Below are 19,240 nucleotides of genomic sequence, written 5' to 3' on the forward strand. Positions count from 1 at the left end.
TGTCTTGCTGTGGGAAGGTGTTTAACGATGATTCTAGAAGAAGCACAGCAGCATTTTTATGTTGAAATGTTAATGCTCTTTCTCCTTTTACTTTTTAGCTGGCATACTGTGTAGTGCAGTTTTTAGAAAAGGACAGCACCCTCACGGAACCAGTAAGTACTGATGCTAGCGCGTCTTGTAAGATGTGTGCATTTCACTAAATGTAAATATTACAACATCTGCTTCACCAAATTGCCATTCATTCAGACTTTTTCATCTTAAATTGCAATACTAATAAACAGGCTCATTTCATTCATGGGTTATAGGTTTTCAAAGTATAGTCATTTTAATTGCAGATTCCTTTATTATAGTGATTATTTTATGTAATGAGATTGCCACCTTGTCCCTCGTTGCACTTTACTGTTTGAACGTAAAGCACTTGAGCGGTTATTGTAGCCACTAAATTTTAGTGTGCAATTCAGTAGTTTCACATCTGCTTGGTTTGACAACATATTGAACTGATTATGATCAGAGGAATTATAGTTAGGGTTTGAAATTATTGTTGTACTAAAGAGGCTTTACCGCCTTGAAAATACTTCCCAAGTTACACTGTAACTATTTTATGATCATTGAATCACAAGTGAACGTTAGATTACTGCTGTTCTGTGCGTGGATCTGTAATTTTTTTTCAGCCTCCATAATTATGTCAGAGGATTTATAATTTTCTTAACATTTTATGTTTATTAAAATAGGCTATCATAGCCAGGGTTAACAAAGCCAGACATGTCAGGTGCCAGTTTAAGCATTTAAATACATTTTTTGAAACAACTTTATTGAGATATAATTCACATACCACACAATTCACCCATTTAAAGAGTACAATTCAAAAATTTTTGATACGTTACATTTTGAATTTTTTTAAATTGTGGTAAAATACATATAACATAAAATTTGTCATTTTAACCGCGTTAAATGTACAGTTCACCAGCGTTAATGACATTCATAGTGTTGCGCAACCATCACCACTATTTCCAAAGCTTTGTCATCATCCCAAACAGAAATTCTACCCATTAAACAATAACTCTCCGTTCTCCCTCCCTCTGGCCCCTGCTGACCTGTAATCTACTTTATCTCTGAATTTGACTATTCTAGGTACCTTATATAAGGAGAATCATAAAACGCTTGTCCTTTCACACCTGGCTTATTTCACTCAGCGTAATGTCTTCCAGGGCTCATTCTTGGGTTGCGTATCAGAACTTCATTCCTCATCATGGTTGAATGCTGTTCTATCATATGGATAGAACACATTGGGTTTATTCATTGTTTTTTCAGTGTACACCTGGGTTGTTCCCACCTTTTAGCTATTGTGAATAATGCTGCTATTTGGATACTGGTGTACAAATATTTGCTATAATCCCCATTTTCAGTTCCTTTGGATATATATCCAGGAGTGGAATTGCTGAATCATATGGTAATTGTATGTTTAGCTGCGGGACAGACCCCCATACTGTTTTCCACAGTGACTGTCCCGTTTTACATTCCCTGCAGCAATGCACAAAGGCTCCCATCTCCCCACATTCTCACCAGTGCTGATGCTGCTGCTGCTGCTGTTGCTTTCTTTTTATTTATTTTATTTTATCTTATTTTTTTGAGAGAAAGTCTCACTCTGTCACCCAGGCTGGAGTGCAATGGTGCAATCTTGGCTCACCACAACCTCTGCCTCCTGGGTTCAAGCGATTCTCCTATCTCAGCCTCCCAAGTAGCTGGGATTACAGGTGCCTGCCACCATGCCCGGCTAATTTTTGCATTTTTATTAGAGACAGAGTTTCACCATGTTGGCCAGGCTGGTCTCAAACTCCTGACCTCAAGTGATCCACCCGCCTCAGCCTCCCAAAGTGCTAGGATAACAGGCGTAAGCCACCACACCCGACCTGTTGTTTTAATTATAGCCATCCTAGTGGTGTGAAAGAGTATCTTGTTGTGGTTTTGATTTGCAGTTCCCTAATGACTGATGATGTTGAGCATCTTTTCAGCGCTTGTTGACCAAAATCTGTATATCTTCTTGGCCGGGCGCGGTGGCTCACGCCTGTAGTCCCAACACTTTGGGAGGCTGAGGCGGGTGAATCACTTGAGCCCAAGAGTTGGAGACCAGCCTGGGCAATATGGCAAAATCCCATCTCTACAAAAAATACAAAAATTAGCCAGGCATGATGGCGTGTGCCTGGGCAACACAGTGAAACCCTGTCTCCAAAAAAAAAAAAAAAAAAAGTGTATATCTTCTTTGCAGAAATGTCCATTTAAATCCATTGCCCATTTTTTACATTGGAGTTTTTTTTTAATTATTTGAGTATCAAAGTAAGGAATGTTAGGAACCAATTCAAATGTTTGAATGCTCTTTTAAAAGTCACTGTTAGACTAGAAAAAGTAGATCTTGTCACTCCTGGGCCCTTTCTCTCTTTCACAGTTCTTTTGTGAAGTTGTAATTTTTATAGTGAAATTGCATGAGAAATTCTTAACATTGAATTTCTGAGTTAAACTGGCTTTTGGGCTCTGCTTTCTTGTAAGTTTTTAAATTCTATGTGTAGATTCCCTCCATTTCACCCACAAAATTCAAGAAGAGCTCTTGTCCTATGACTGCAGAGGTAGCAGGTGCTACAGAGCCACGAGCTGGGCCCGCCCTGTCCTGCCGGGCCCTCGTGGAAGGACGCATCCCTGCACACTCTCCCTCCAGCCCCTAGATACCTCCGCCTGAGATTTTGGGGACCTCCCAAGGAAATGTACCAAATCTCATCACACTTCAGCATCAAGCATAGTCAAGGCTTAGGGTGAGGAGGTGTTATTTTTATCCTTCTTAACGACTGAAGACATGTTTAGGTAGGAAAAAGAAAAATGAACAGTGTTAATAAAACTCATTGGGGATTTTTTTTTTAAACTGTATTTTCTCCAGTGGTTACATGCCCTAACTCTTCTGCCTATATCTGAGGTATTCTCCAAACTGAAGGGTGAGAGGTTGTATTTTTTTTTTTTTTTGAGACAGGATCTCGCTCTGTCACCCAGGTCCCACAATAGCCCGTCTGCAAGCTGAGGAGCAGGGAAGCCAGGCCCGTTCCAAAGCTGAGGAACTTGGATTCCGATGTTCGAGGGCAGGAAGCGTCCGGCACGGGAGAAAGATGCAGGCTGGGAGGCTAGGCCAGTCTAGTCTTTTCACGTTCTTCTGCCTGCTTTATATTCTGGCCTCTCTGGCAGCTTAGGTGGTGCCCACCCCCATTAAGGGTGGGTCTGCCTTTCCTAGCCCACTGACTCACATGTTAATCTCCTTTTGCAACACCCTCACAGGCACACCCAGTGCATCCTTCAATCCAAACAAGTTGACACTGAGTATTAACTATCACAGAGGTTTTACTGGAGAAAGTAATATGTAAAAAAAAAAAAAAAATTTATCTCTCCCCTCCTCTCCCACCTTTTCCTATTCAAAAATAAAAGACAACTGGGCACAGTGGCTCATGCCCCTAATCCCAGCACTTTGGGAGGCCAAGGCAGGAGGAGCCCTTGAAGCCAGGAGTTTGAGACCAGCCTGGGAAACATAGTGAGACCTCCTCTCTACCAAAAAAAAAAAAATTTAATTAGCTGGGCATGGTGACATGTACCTGTGGTCCCAGCTACTCGAGAGGCCGAGGTGGAAGAGTTGTTTGAGCCCAGGGGGTCAAGGCTGCAGTGAGCTATGAACGCACCAACTTCACTCCATCCTGAGTGACAGAGTAAGACCCTGTCTCAAATAAATAAGTAAATACAAATGGAAGGGAAAAAAAGCTATGGAAGGAGAGATTTTTGAAAGTATGTATTTTTCTTTCATGAATTTTCTTTGTGCGTATTTCTCATATCCTGTAGTGGCTGAACAATTCACCAAATGCCACATTGCGTTTACCACAGACAGAGGCTGCTCCCACCTAAGCCACTGTCCCAGCATCTCTATCCCGCCATCCACTGTCTGTCAGCCTGACCCTAACCTTCTCCACCGAGGGCTCGGTGAATGAGCCTCACCCTATTCTCTCTTCCACCGAAAAGTAACACAAAAGCAGAGAATGTTTGTAAAAGTTTTTAATTCCCACTAATATAGTAAATAAAGTGAATATCACTTTGCAAGAGTGAGAGCTGTTAATTGCAGTCCTGTCTAAAAGAGGGCAAGAGACCCCGTGCCGGCTTCAGTTGGGTCCTTCCGGCGTAAATGTTACATGCAGGACTCTGACTTGGCACCAGCACAAAGGAGGTGCAAACCCCACCAACCTAGGCCCCGATGTTCCCACCCGGGGACACTTCATTGCTTAGTTTCCTGCTGCACAGATAATGTAATAGTACCGTCCTGGCTTTAGAAAGCAGATTCAATTTCCTACATGTTAAGAACATTCAGACCCTCATGTCAGTAAATTCCCTCTTTTGAAATGCCTATTTATGAAAACACAAAGGCCATTTTGTCTTATTTCAGCATTGAAAGCTTGTTAATGAGATGATCAAAGTATAGGCTTTGGTGCAGGTGTACATCTCTTGGTAGCACTAAGGACACCTGGTGTCCACGTCCATCTCCCAGGCCTGCACCAAAGGGACTCCTGAAGCCATCAAATGTCCAGGCTCAGGAATGTTTAAAGTAAGATCCACTTAGAAGACTGAGATATGAAGGACATGTGTTGCCCCATTTGTAGCCTGTAATTAGTATTTTTCATTTGCTAATTGTGTACAGTGCTCAAAAGCTTTCTGGGCACATGAAACACTTTCTCTGTTGGAAGAATAACAAAAGCTCATCAGAGATTTTACAGAAGTAAAACTGTGTTCCGTTTTCACCCACCTGCCTCTTCAGTCTCATCACATTTTACTACATGGCATAGTAGCGGCTCTCCTTTCTCCTTGGTCTACCAGGACAGGAAGGGGGCTCCCCAAGACTCAAGGCTGGGGCCACTGGCTCGCCTGCCCTCTGCAGGGAGCGGGCAGTCCTTGGGCTTCCAAAGGAAAACTCGGGGCCTTGTGCTGCACCCAGCAGCACACAGCCATTGTTGCCTCGGATTCACATTCCCTGAGTAGACACCCTCCTCCACAGAGCACGCCACACTGACGCAGCAAAATAGCTGATACCGATCACAGCTCATTCCAAACAATGTGAACAGGAAGGCCCGTGTGTGAATCCGATCCCAGAAATGATACCTTTTCCAGAGAAATGGAATAGCTAAATCGGTTGTGTTGTATAGTTCACAAATTAACATATTTCTCCTAATAAAATTCCATTTGACAAATGAAGAGAAATAGATGTAGGAAGTGATTTCCATCTGCTGTGTCCTTAATAGTGATTCCAATACACGCAAAGTGTGGTAGGAACACAATAAATACTTATTCAATAGTTTTGAGCTAGGAGAACCATTAAATGATGCATTTTTAGAAATAATTCCTTTTAAAGACACTTGTATGGTAGATTTTTATGTCAGACTTGAAAACTAGCAGCACTTCCTTTTTTATTTTTATTTGGCTCTTTTGGGGTTTTTGTTTGTTTGTTAGATTCTTGGAGTACAGTGGCGCAGTCATGGCTCACTGCAGCCTCAACCTCCTGGGCTCAAGCAATCCTCCCACCTTAGCCTCTCGAGTAGCTAGGACCACAGGTGCCCATCACCACACCAGGCTAATTTTTAAATTTTGTGTAGAGACAGGACCTCACCACGGTGCCCAGGTCGGTCTCGAACTCCTGGGCTCAAGCATTCCTCCCACCTCGACCTCCCAAAGTCCTGAGATTACATGCGTGAGCCACCACGCCCAGCCTTACTTTCCTTTGTTTCATGAATTTTGGAGTTTTATAAAGTGTAATATCATAAAAGATTACCTGGGAGCCCAAATGCCAAAGCATCAAAACAAAATTTTTCTAAATGGATGTTAAATGTCCACCTTTTTAAAAAATCACTGTAATGACTAAAAGGCTGGCCTGCTAAGCCATGAGTTGGTGCGATCTACTGAGCTGGAAATGACTAGTGAGTGAAAACGACCAGGCGGTCCCGGGGGCCAGCACTTGTGGCAATTGCACAGCACAAGAGTCGGGTAGAAGCCCCGCGGTGTTGCTGTGACGAGGCCAAAGAGCTGCTCTAACGCACCGGATTGCACTTGTACAATTCAGTGTGTAAGCACATATATGCACTTCATATGCAAATGCCTGTTTTGGATTGTTGTACTCTTTTAGAACTAAGATGGCTAAACTCTAAAAATATTATGAAATCTGCATGGATTCACATTCAGTATTTTGTACTGGTATGATTGTGGTAAGACATTTGGAAACTACAGGAACATATAAAGAAAGGTTGCCCAGTGGAAATTCTTTCTAGCTGTCTGACTTGGCCAAGGAACATAAAACATCCACTATCCACAAACTGGGAAACCACTGCAGTCCGACGGGCTGTGCCTGGCAGAGAGCTGGTGGCACAGACCCTCTGGGTGGTGACAATCCTGGCTACAGCTGCCACTGCAGCCTGCTCACCGCAGGCCCAGCACTGCTCAGGCTGTTGTATCTGACGCCCACAGGTGTGCGCACAGAGAGCACAGTACGCCCTGCCCGGGAGGTCCCATCGCAGTACCTGTGGATGTGAGTTAATAAGGTCAGCTTAATTCACATCACTCCTTTTGATATATTTTAACACAGTTGAAAACACTGTCTATGCATACAGAAGTATGTGTGTTTGTGTATAAACACATATGGATGGTTGATAAATTTGAGAAAGAAATGGGTTGTGTACACGTGGCCCACAGTTTCAGTACTGGCTGCTTCCACAACTAAAATGTACACATGAATTGATAATGCTCTGTGTTTTCTCCGTTGATCTTATTCTTTCTAAATTATTGTCCTAACTTCTTATTTTTTTTTCTTTTTTTAAAAAAAGGAATGGACTCTTACTGAAATGGTGTTTGATCAGAGAAAGTGGGTTATATAAACTAAAATTGTGTAATTTCTGAAGTGTATAAAATTAAGCCAGGCAGGTGGTACGTGCCTGTGGTCCCAGCTACTCAGAGGCTGAAAGAGGAGGATCACTTGAGCCAAGGAGTTCAAGTCCAGCCTGGACAACATAATGTGACCCATCTCTAAATAAATTGATTGATCAGATAGATAACCAGACAGACAGACCTACTTCTCAAATACAGAAAATCACATATGATGACTGAGTCACTGTTCCCTCTGTAAGGAAGATGGCACCATCTCCGTGTGTTGCCTTGCAGTGGGGCCACCGCAGTGAAAACACAGACTTCTTACCATGCAGGTGTTGGGGCCTCGTGGGCATCAGTCACTCCACGTGTCATTTCTTTTGTAGGTGGTGATGGCACTTCTCAAATACTGGCCAAAGACTCACAGTCCAAAAGAAGTAATGTTCTTAAACGAATTAGAAGAGATTTTAGATGTCATTGAACCATCAGAATTTGTGAAGATCATGGAACCCCTCTTCCGGCAGTTGGCCAAATGTGTCTCCAGCCCACACTTCCAGGTATGTGGGGCTTGGGGGACCTGATTAAATTCTTCCAGTGTTCATTTGGGAAAGGAAAAGTTCCATGCGTAGCTGGCCATGCTTTGCCTCTCATGCAATTTAAAGGTAAAATCCAAGTTTTTACTTGAATTATACTTCAAATACGATGCTGTAACTTGAATTCTATAGAATACCCTTGAGCATCTTGTCCCTTCTGCCGCGATACTTTTTCTCACTAAGAGCAGTCATCTGGCTTCTCTGTAAAGCTGTCTTTATCTTCATGTTCAGTGTGCTTCCAAGTTCATAAACACCCTCCTTTCCACACCTGAGCATCAATATTGATAGACAACGGGTGGCCAAAGCCTCGGCTCTGAGATGCTCTTGCTGCCGAGGCCCTTCGTTCCTGACACTGTGTAAATCTGTCTCCCTTTACCCTTTCAAAAAGGCTGAGAGCTCTGACTTTTGTCACTGCCAAATTCCTGTGCGAGAGGACGACCTTGGTCAGAGCTACTTTCTACTTTCTTTTCCCAATTTCCTTAACCCTTCAAGCCAGCCTCGGCTCATCACCTCTTTTGAAGGCCACCCCCACACACCTTCCCAGCCTGCCTGCCTCTGTTGGACGTGCTAGCCACCTGTCCTTTTGCATCATTGAGCGGATTTTATTGTGCACTCATCATGAACAAGGTGAAAATAGGCACAAAATAAGCAAGACCTCCCGGTGCCCAGGGAGCAGGCCACACAGTGGAAGAGAGTGACCATGTCACACCACCACCTTACAGCCAAACGTGAAGGGCCAGGTGGCGTGTGCAGCAGGCTCTCAGAAACACATGGGCAGTTACCTTAGCACAAGTCTAAGTGGTTAGAAAAAGTCCACAAGAATGAGGGGTCCTCCAAACTGAGCCTTTCAAGATGGTTTTGGAAAGAGATCATTGAAACCAACAAAACTAAGACAAGAAGGCAAGTGATAGAAGAGTAAGAAGCTCTGGAGCACGGGCAGCCATAGTAAAGTGAGGCCAGGCTGAGTCGGGTTAAAGGAAGGAACTGCTGTGGTGTAGTCTCTTCCATACAAATATTCAGGTTATTTTCATTTTATAAATTCCAATGAGTTTTCACATTAGGAACTAAGAAAGGAAAATTATGTTTTGGGTTTTTTTTTTTTTTTTTTCATCAATCCTGGCCTACAGAGAAAATAATGTTTCTCAAGGCTTTCAGTGTGAGCACTTTGCACAAAGGAGCATGGTTTCCTAGAAACTGTAGAGACCAGCGCCACGGAGCCCTGGCTGAAGTACAGGGCGTTCGTATGCCAAGGAGAGACTGGCAGTCGTGGGAAGTGTCCCAAAAACTTGAGCCCCTTCCCCAGATGCAAAATTAGCTATCGCTATGGGTAACGTTAGACCTTCAAGAGAAGACAGGGACAAGTGGACTCACAATGTGCTGTTTTGCATAAAAGCATGTGACAGGGCAAGGAGGAAGGGAAGTCCAGGTGGGGAAAGCAGAGCCAAGGTGGCCGCGCAGCTGCCAGTGGCTTGGGTGCCACTCCACATGTCACAGAAGCCTTCACGTCCCTGCCAGGAACAGAGCATGAAGGCTGCCAGGGCGGCCTGCCATGCCTCTGATGAGGGAGTTCAGTGCCAGGACCCACTCAGGCCTTCAGCTGCAGGCCCAGCCCCCCAACTCGCCCTCGTCTGTGTCCCCCACGCACGCTTGCGCCCATCTTGGCTTCTGCTTCTTAGAGGACCTGATCAGCACAGAGTACATTCCAGAATCTTTTCCAGACACATATGCATAAGGCCAACTCATTCTTAATTTTTTTTTTTTTTCCTTTGAGATGGAGTCTCACTCTGTCCCTGAGGCTGGAGTGCAGTGGTGCGATCTCGGCTCATTGCAACCTCTGCCTTCCAGGTTCAAGTGATTCTCCTGCCTCGGCCTCCCGAGTAGATGGGATTACAGGTGCGTGCCACCACACCCAGCTAATTTTTGTATTTTTAGTAGAGACGGGGTTTCACCATATTGGCCAGGCCGATCTTCAACTCCCAGCCTCATGATCCGCCCACCTCGGCCTCCCAAAGTGCTGAGATTACAGGCATAAGCCACCGCGCCAGCTCATTCTTAACTTTTAGATGTTTTTTTCACACCCAAAAAAAGTACTGGTTTTAAAAACTGGAAAAATTTAAAGTTTAAACCATCAAGCATCTTAAGCTTCTGTTTTCTAAATCAGGCTTAAAATATTACCCCCAAATATATTGGTGGGTGGTGGGTGGGTGGATGGATGGATGGATGGTTTTGTTTTTGGTTTGTTTTCTTTTTAGACAAAGTTTTGTGCTTGTTGCCCAAGCTAGAGTGCAATCTCAGCTCACTGCAACCTCTGCCTCCCAGGTTGAAGTGATTCTCCTGTCTCAGCCTCCCAAGTAGCTGGGACTACAGGCGCCTGCCACCACACCTGGCTGATTTTTGTATTTTTAGTAGAGACGGGATTTCACCATGTTGGCCAGGCTGGCCTTGAACTCCTGACCTCAAGTGATCCACCTGCCTCGGCCTCCCAAAGTGCTGGGATTACAGGCGTGAGCCACCATGCCCGGCCTAGATGGTTGCTTTTTAAAGTACAAGGTATTGAACTCTTAAGTAAGAACTAGCCTAGGAGCTGTGATGCGATTGTGCCTTGTTTTGAATCCACGCCGCACTCTCATGCATGCCCTCCCCTCCCCCATTACCTAACTCACTCCTTTTCTGCAAAGTTCATCCCAGCTCACTGCCTCTGAGGAATCAGCCCTGATTCCTGAGCCTGGCACAGGCTCACCTGCCATTCTCTCAGCATCCCACCCATACACACCGCACCACAACCTCAGGATCTCTAAGCTGTAGGCTTCTGGCAGGAGAAGCGTCAGCCCCATGCTGCTCAGAGCCTCCAAGTGCTGCTGTGAGTTGTGTGCAGATGAAGGGTGTTGACAGTAGTTATACAGGTGAAGCTCCTCTTCCCAGAGGCATACATGCTGTGATGGGGACAGGCCAAGTGTCCTGGTGACTGCCTCGAACTCCCAGATAGTTCTGTGGAACGTGCACTTGTGTGCTGGTTTACTACGGAGAGAAAAAGCAAATAGGGTAGGGTATGAACAGTGTTGAATCTGGGTGGAGGGAGGTGGGCACTCATTATGTTAGTCTTGCAGCTTTGTCTGTTTTTGAAAGTTTTAGTAATAAAAATGGGGGGCTGAGTGCAGTGGCTCACGCCTGTAGTCCCAGCACTTTGGGAGGCCAAGGCGGGTGGATCACCTGAGGTCAGAAGCTCGAGAGCAGCCTGGCCAACATGGTGAAACCCCGTCTCTACTAAAAATACAAAAATTAGCCAGGTGCGATGGCGCATGCCTATAGTCCCAGCCACTCAGGAGGCTCAGGTAGGAGAATCGCTTGAACCCAGGAGGCAGAGGTTGTAGTGAGTCGAGATAGCACCACTGCACTCCAGCCTGGGCAACAGAGTGAAACTCCATCTCTTTTTAAAAAACAAAAATGGATGGGCTAGGCGTGGTAGCTCACGCCTGTAATCCCAGCACTTTGGAAGACCAAGGCAGGTGGATCACCTGATCTCAGGAGTTCGAGACCAACCTGACCAACATGGCAAAACCCTGTCTCCACTAAAAATACAAAAAAGCCGGGTGTGGTGGCGTGCGCCTGTAATCCCAGCCCCTCAGGAGGCTGAGGCAGGAGAATCGCTTGAACCCGGGAGGCAGAGGTTGCAGTCAGCCAAGATCACGCCATTGCACTCCAGCCTGGGCAACAAGAGCAAAAATCCATCTCAAAAAAAAAAAAGAAAAGAAAAATGGGGGAACCACCCTCTAGTGGCTTCCCGTGAGTAAGCGCCAGTGCACTCAGGCCCTGTTCCCCTGCCCTCCTACTGTTCATGCCCCCACTGCCCTCTGCAGTGGTCCTCAGCCAGCCCCGTGCTGACAACTCAGGACCTCTCCTCCCTCTGGTCCTTGCTCAGATGTCACCTCCTCCCCATTGAAGCCACCCCACCGCACACGCACCGCCGCTGCCTGTTCTCCTGCCCTGCTGCCCTTTGTATGTGACTTATCGTTTCTAGTAAATTAATAATCATCCATCACCTGTCTCCTCCCCACTAGAATGTAAGCTCCGTGGAGTCAAGGATTTCTGCCTTGCTTTGTTCAGTGCTGAATGCTCAGCAGAACACAGCACGCCCTCTTGACCTGACAGATGGGGGAGGCGGGTGGATAGGTGGAATGGCCTCCTTTGAGTTGTCTCCTCAGCATCTAGCCAGCATCTAGCATAAATGTTTACGGAATAAGTAGAGAAATAGGTGACAATGTTCTTGATGAGTTGATGTACAAGAAGTTGTCTGCCTCTTTGTTGAAGGCTCTTCAGGGTTACAGGTTACAGTCTAGAATATTTTGAATTTGTAGAAATAATCATAATTTTCTGGTCCAAGGTAGTTCATTACCCGACTCACAGGTTTAACAGCAAGGACAGCCACCTGATGTCTCAGGCACAACCTCCAGCAAGCCATCCACTTGTGTCTTTCAGGTGGCAGAGCGAGCTCTCTATTACTGGAATAATGAATACATCATGAGTTTAATCAGTGACAACGCAGCGAAGATTCTGCCCATCATGTTTCCTTCCTTGTACCGCAACTCAAAGACCCATTGGAACAAGTAAGAAAGAACTGGCTGCCATCTTTTTCAGTCATTTTAAAATATGGCACGTTTTACTGCTACTTCAGTAAGAATAAATATCAGAATTTTAAATATCAATTAAAAAACAAGAAGGTCAGTTGCTTTGTGGACTCATAAATTAAGTAGCAGCGTGGGTTGTTTCTGTGGCCGTTGAATTTACCACCTTATACCTTCATTCCTGCCAGTATAGAGGCACATTGGTTTGCAGCCACCTCCCAGTAGCAGCAGTTTCTAGGCCTCTTCCTGAGCGTCCTGCAGAGAAGCTGAAGGTCTCTGCAGAGCCCAGTGGGGCTCAGCCCCGGCGGGGGCACAGTGGCCACTGCATTCTCGGGGTGTCTATTGAGCTCTGCTGACATGCACCCTGGATGAGCCCCTGTGTGAGACCCAAGAACCACCCCACAGTGGTCACTACCTGGAGAAGAAGAGGGAAGCCAGGTGATCTGAACACAGCCCCATAGTCCCAGCAGCCAAAAACATTTCCTCCTACTCCGCTCCTTCATCTTTTGACTTAAAGAGGATGAATAAATCCGTTTACTGAGCAATAGTCTTCTGAGACTTTAAAAGGAAACTGTTGATATGGGTGCCACATTATTTATTTATTTTTCTTTTTTAAAATTTGTATTTTATTTGTTTATTTTTAGACAGGGTCTTGCTATGTCCCCCCGGCTGGAGTGTAGTGTCACGATCATGGCTCACTTCAGCCTCGACCTCCTGGGCTCAAGCAAACCTCCTGCCTCAGGGTCCTGAGTAGCTGGGACTACAGGCACCCACCGCTACGCCTGGCTAATTTTTGTATTTTTTGTAGAGATGGGGTTTTGCCATGTTGCCCAGGCTGGTCTCGAACTCCTGGACTCAAGTATTCCACCTGCCTCAGCCTCCCAAAGTGCTGGGACGACGTGAGCCACTGCGCCCAGGCCATATTATTTATTAATATGGTATCATCTAATATTCCTGCTATTTAAAGAAATACGACTGAGTTTTTCTTTCCCCACCTTCTTTCATCTCTTTCCATTGTATATTGTAATTATAACTCAGAACTTAAAGAAGAGCAGGTTATGCTATCCAGCCCTCCTCCCTTAGTTTATGGGTGAGGAAGGTGAGACTTGGAGGGCATTCGCAGCCCAGTCTGCGGTCCCAAAGCTGGTGAGCGGCACTCTGGCCCGGTGCGGTCTCCTAACTCGCAGTGTCTATTGGGCACCCCTCTGGCTGTGCTGCACAGTCACCCTGCTGCCGGCGGACCAGCCCTCTCCCATGCACCCTCTCTCCTTGTCCGCTCGAGGCTGCAGGTGGCACTGCCTCCTTCCCAGAATTCTGCAGGGCAGCAGCCAGACAGGTGTTAGCCCTGGAGCTCTGAGCCAGACCCCCGAGCGAGCGTCCAGCCAGTCCACTCGCGTCAAGTCTTCTGAGGGTTGCCGCCCAGAAATTCAACAGAGAAGGGCAGGCAGATCAGAGTGAGGATGACTTTGGTTCACATTCCTGCCTTCCTCCTGAGCAGCTGTCTGAACCCGGGGAAGTTAGCTCTCACCAGGTCTTTCTTAGCCACAGTTTCTCTTTGGAAAAACTGAGAAAGTAAAGTGCTTTGCCTTGCAACAATCTTCACTTGGTTGTGAGGATTAAGATAAAGTTAATATGCGTAAAGTACCTGGCTTATGATAGGCACCAAGTAAGCATTTGCTGTCACTTAGTGGTTGTAGGGCCAGCAGCCATGCTGATAGCAGTGGAGGCAGCAGCCAAGACCCTCATGGCAATAGCGTGGTGGTTGTAGTTGTTAATACAGCACATCCACCCTCAACAACCTGTTCTTTGTAGCATTGATTTATTTTATTTATTTATTTATTTTTGAGATGGAGTCTTGCTCTGTCACCCAGACTGGAGTGCAGTGGCACCATCCTGGCTCACTGCAGCCTCCACCTCCCAGGTTCAAGTGATTCTCCCACCTCAGCCTCCCAAGTAGCTGGGACTACAGACATGAGCCACCACTCCTGGCTAATTTTTGCATTTGTAGTAGAGATGGGGTTTCACCATGTTGGCCAGGCTGGTCTTGAACTCCTGACCTGAAGTGACCCACCCGCCTCAGCCTCCCACGGTGCCGGGACTACAGGTGTGAGCCACCGCGCCTGGCTTGCATTGATTTTTTTTTTTTTAATCGCAACAATGACAACAAAGCCCCTGGAGTGTCGCCATGTTTCTTGTGTGTAATTTAGTTTAGTATGTAAGTCAGCACAATTCATAACTGACTTCCAATCCCCGCCCATTGCAAAGAAAAAAATGTTCTTTTAAGTGTTTTCTAAGTACAACTTGGGTTTTATTACAAAGTGGATTAAGAAGGAATTATGATTTGAGGGTTACGTTTTTTGGGATTTATTTGTTTTTAGCTACTGGCACCTGTTGCTCACAGTCCTGCGGGTCGAGCAGGTCCTGCTGCGCAGGCTTTCGCTGGTGTCTGCTGGGGGATCGGGGCTCTTACAGGGCTGCAGTCCCATGGCAGCTGGGACTAGAGTCACCCAGAGGCTCAGCTGGAACAATTTGGCCTCTTTCCCTCTCCATGCGTGTCAGAGCCTGAGAGCTAAGCATTGATTAAGCTGTTTTATGCTCATTTTATTTTCTCTTTCAAAGCTCTGTGTTGCCATTATTAAAATTAATTTTTCTGTCCTCAGGGAATAAGATGAAAAGAAACTGACATTTATAGGAAATCAAGTATTGCCATTATTGTCCTCTTTATAATTTTGTCTTAACTATATTTGTTCAAGTTTCAATGTTTTTAATTCAGTTTCTGAGCAAGGTCGTTTTTGGCTACTGTCAGCTGGAGACAGTGAGTGGAGTGGCCTCTGTGGCTATGTGAGAGCCACTGTGAAGAAAGTCTCGGGATGTGTGGCTGTCAGAAAACAAGTAACGCGGAATGAGCAGGCCTTGCATTTTAGACCTTAGGGATCCTGTGCGATGTGGGACTGTTGGAATATGGAGCAGCCTGAGAGTGGAGAGGCGAGGGCTCAGCAGGAATGCGTGCTCCCAGGCTCACCGTGCGGTTTTCTTTATAGGACAATACATGGCTTGATATACAACGCCCTGAAGCTCTTCATGGAGATGAACCAAAAGCTATTTGATGACTGTACACAACAGTTCAAAGCAGAGAAACTAAAGTGAGTTGTTCCTTTCACAAGTTACTGTTTCCAGGATTTTTTTCTTAATCCTAAGTAAACCTCTTCCACTGTTTTGTCCTAAAACGGTATTCTTCACTCGAAAGCAAAACCAAGCCTTTCATACTTGGAAAGCAAATTAAAACTGTGTTATAATAACGTATTTTGAAAGAACAGGTGTTTAAAGGTAGCTATTCTCCCCCCTTGTATTGCCAGATTAATCATCTTTGCAAAAAGTGCTTATGTAAGCAAGAATTTAACATTCAGAATTTTTTCTTTTCTTGGGCTATAATGGGCTTAAAGGCTATAATGTGTAGTCCATTTTCATGTTTATAAGGCAGGGATTTGAATTATATCCTATAAGGTTTATCCCAGAGAGCAAGAATCTTCATTTCAATGTAGCTTTATTCTGATTTAATGAACTCAGCGATGTGGGTGTTCTCTGGAATCTAGTCTGTCCTTTGCAAAATCAGGGTCCTGCCCTCGTGCCTTTGAGCCCACATGTGTCCAGGGATGATCTAAGTGACAAAGTACTTCGTCCCTAGGCTGTGCAAGTAATAATGTGATTAAATAGTTGTTGGAGGTCACTTCTTCCAAGTTGAGTATGGACTATTGGCAGATTTTATTTTTTGCTTGTCACTTAAAACTGGCTAAGGTAGATAAGCTTTGCACGAATGTAATTCAAAATACACTGTATACATATGTGTGTATCTATGTGTGTGTGTGTGTGTGTATATATATGAAACAACTGCCATTTAGTCATTCCTTAGACAAATATGTGAATATTTACCTTATACACCAGGCCCTGTTTTAGATTCTGGCAATATAGCAATGAATAAAACCCACAAAAATCCTTGCCCCTGGGCCGGGTGCGGTGGCTCACGCCTGTAATCCCAGCACTTTGGGAGGCCAAGGCGGGTGGATCACAAGGTCAGGAGATTGAGACCATGCTGGCTAACACGGTGAAACCCCATCTCTACTAAAAAATACCAAAAAAGGGCCAGGCGTGGTGGCTCATGCCTGTAATCCCAGCGCTTTGGGAGGCCGATGCAGGCAGATCACGAGGTCAGGAGATCGAGACCATCCTGGCTAACACAATGAAACCCCGTCTCTACTAAAAATACAAAAAAAAAGGCCGGGCATGGTGGCTCATGCCTGTAATCCCAGCACTTTGGGAGGCCAAAGCAGGCAGATCACCTGAGGTCAGGAGTTCGAGACAAGCCTGGCGAACACAGTGAAACCCCGTCTCTACTGAAAATACAAAAAATTAGCCGGGCGTGGTGGCAGGCGCCTGTGGTCCCAGCTACTCAGAGTCTGAGGCAGGAGAATGGTGTGAACCTGGGAGGCGGAGCTTGCAGTGAGCTGAGCTCACACCACTGCACTCCAGCCTGGGAGACAGAGAGAGACTCCGTCTCAAAAAAAAAAAAAATACAAAAAAAAATCAGCCGGGTGTGGTGGCGGGTGCCTGTAGTCCCAGCTACTCGGGCTGAGGCAGGAGGATGGCGTGAACCTGGAGGCGGAGCTTGCAGTGAGCCAAGATCACGCCACTGCACTCCAGCCTGGGCGACAGAGCGAGACTCCGTCTCAAAAAAAAAATCCTTGCCCTTTTGGGGTTTATATTCTGGGTAGTGTGGGGAAATAAAAGAACACAAAATACACCTAAGTGAACTATAGAGCATGAGAGATGACAAGTCAGTCAGGAAAGGGCCGGGGAGACAGACCAGCCATTCCTCTAGAGCTGCCAGCTGCATGGTCTGTTCTCATCTCAGCTCTCAGTGCAGTTCGCAGGTAGGAAGCATGCAAGCAGCAGGGCCTTCTGATGGCAGATCCTCCTCTCGTGGAATCCCACAGCTTTCCCAACAGGACCTTAAAGGTTGTGTAGTACATTTTCTGGGTTGAAAAACTTGGATCCTGGCCGGGCGCAGTGGCTCACACCTGTAATCCCAGCACTTTGGGAGGTTATGGCTGGTGGATCATTTGAGGTCAGGAGTTCGAGACCAGCCTGGCCAATATTGTGAAACCCCATCTCTACTAAAAGTACGAAAATTAGCCGGGCGGTAGTAGCACGCACCTGTAATCCCAGCTACTCGGGAGGTTGAGGCAGGAGAATTGCTTGAGCTCGGGAGGTGGAGGTTGCAGTGAGCCAAGATCCTGCTACTGCACTCCAGTCTGGGCGACAGAGTGAGGCCCTGTCTCAAAAAAAAAAAAAAACTTGGATCTGAGTTAAGCGATTGAAAGTCATGTGACTCGCAGTGGAGTCAGTCAACAACCCAGGTCTCCTGGCTCTTAAGACGTTTCCTTTTTAATATTATAGGAATGGGAATGCTGGCTCCTTTTACAGTACTGGTCCCTTTACACTGTACTGCATACTCGTTTTTTCAGTGGATATATGAGCTTCTTGTCAAAATTATGTGGGTCCCATGAAGAAACATCTAACCAGGGGAAGGGGGAAGGATTGAGACATAAGACGTACTTATATAAGATTTCTTTTAAGAATTCCAATCTTGGACATGTTAAATTTTTTTATATTTTCTCATGTTTAAATCTCAGTTCGTTTTTCATGCTGTGCTCAGCACGTAAGTGTGGGGAAATGGAGCAGGGGGGCTGCGGGAGGAGCCGCTGGCTGGGCTCAACATGCCTGTGCCTTTTCCCCTTCAGTGTGTTCTTGTGTCTGATGCATCTCTAACACAGATGACATTTTACTGTTTTTCAGAGAGAAGCTAAAAATGAAAGAACGGGAAGAAGCATGGGTTAAAATAGAAAATCTAGCCAAAGCCAATCCCCAGGTACTAAAAAAGAGAATAACATGAAAACGCCCAGGGTTACTTGAATGTTTTTATAAGATAGGAATATATGTCTTCACCATGGGGGGGGTCTCGATTTCACTAACGTTGTATATGAAAATGTCTGCAATAAAAAGTACTTTTAAACTTTGTAACCCTCCTTTTGTACAAGTACTTATTTTGCCCCATATCGTTTTACCACAGAATTGACTTTTTTCCTCTGCTTTTTAAATAAGATCTGAATCTTATGCATATACTGTGGTAAAAAGAAAACTTGAATACAGCCTGAGACTGTGCCTCCTCTCTCAGATATCATAGATGCTGTCACTCAAACAGCATTTCCCTTTCTTTTTCATATGAAATTAGTTCTAAAAGAAAGGAAATTAGATTGGAAATAGATTAAGTATGACGTTTTGATGTCCTCTTTCTTTGTATGAGGTTTCTGTAAGCCCAGCCTTTTATCATTAAAAATCAGCTGAATTCTGCCACATTAGCAGCCAACCCTCCTTCCCACCCCAGCAGCGGGTGCCAGTGTGCTCTGGTGAGTCTGCGCCGATGGCCGGACGTCCCGGAGCTGCCGGCAGTTCCAGCTGCCGGGGCTGCCAGGGTCCGGGAGGGTTTCCTGGTGTCATGGTCTTTGGGTTTGATGTACGCTGCTGTAAATGACTAGAGCGTTATGACAGTTTCTTCACGTTCTGTGTGCCTGATTATAACAGTGCCTCTTAAAAAGAAAATCTTTTTCAGAAAATCTTTTGTCTGAATCTTTGCCACTCTTAAGAATTCTCAAGCTTTCCTTCAACTCTCCAGAAAAGATTTTACCGAACAATGTATTTCTTTTAGTGAGAGATATGCATAGTTACCTAAGTTGGTTTTTAGATTTCTCTGACACTTAATAAAAAGTTATACATGAATATAAAGTTAAAAGTATATCTTTACCTATATAACAACATACTGGTTTGTATACTCTGATAAAACTGCAATCAGGAAACTCAAATCAGGAAAACGGAATGACATTTCTAATTGTGAGCCCTTGAGTCCACCTAAAACAGGTAGCCAGCATTTTTCTAGCAGTTATTTACTCATGCTGACAGAAATGCTGTTTTAAGATTACTGTCTAAAACTGTATAATCCTTAATTGAGGTAGGTAGCTATAGGCGTCTCCTTTTAACGAATTGAAT

General features: G+C 45.3%; 1 protein-coding gene across 29 annotated transcripts in view; it reads left to right on the forward strand.

Annotated features, from left to right (window-relative positions):
- Positions 1-19,240, forward strand: part of PPP2R5C (protein phosphatase 2 regulatory subunit B'gamma) — a 167,420-nt gene that overhangs the window by 133,836 nt on the left and 14,344 nt on the right. For 24 of the 29 annotated variants that reach the window (XM_005267819.2, XM_005267827.2, XM_047431541.1 and 21 more), the window contains 5 exons: positions 99-152; positions 7,311-7,481; positions 11,994-12,121; positions 15,181-15,282; positions 17,993-18,065. In XM_005267819.2, the coding sequence (XP_005267876.1) occupies positions 99-152; positions 7,311-7,481; positions 11,994-12,121; positions 15,181-15,282; positions 17,993-18,065 (528 nt within the window). Of the gene's footprint in view, positions 1-98; positions 153-7,310; positions 7,482-11,993; positions 12,122-15,180; positions 15,283-17,992; positions 18,218-19,240 lie in introns of those variants that run through there. The other 5 variants (XM_005267824.2, XM_047431534.1, XM_017021423.3 and 2 more) reach the window with 2 other exon arrangements.

Source organism: Homo sapiens, chromosome 14 (genome assembly GCF_000001405.40).
Source record: "Homo sapiens chromosome 14, GRCh38.p14 Primary Assembly".
NCBI lineage: Eukaryota > Metazoa > Chordata > Mammalia > Primates > Hominidae > Homo > Homo sapiens.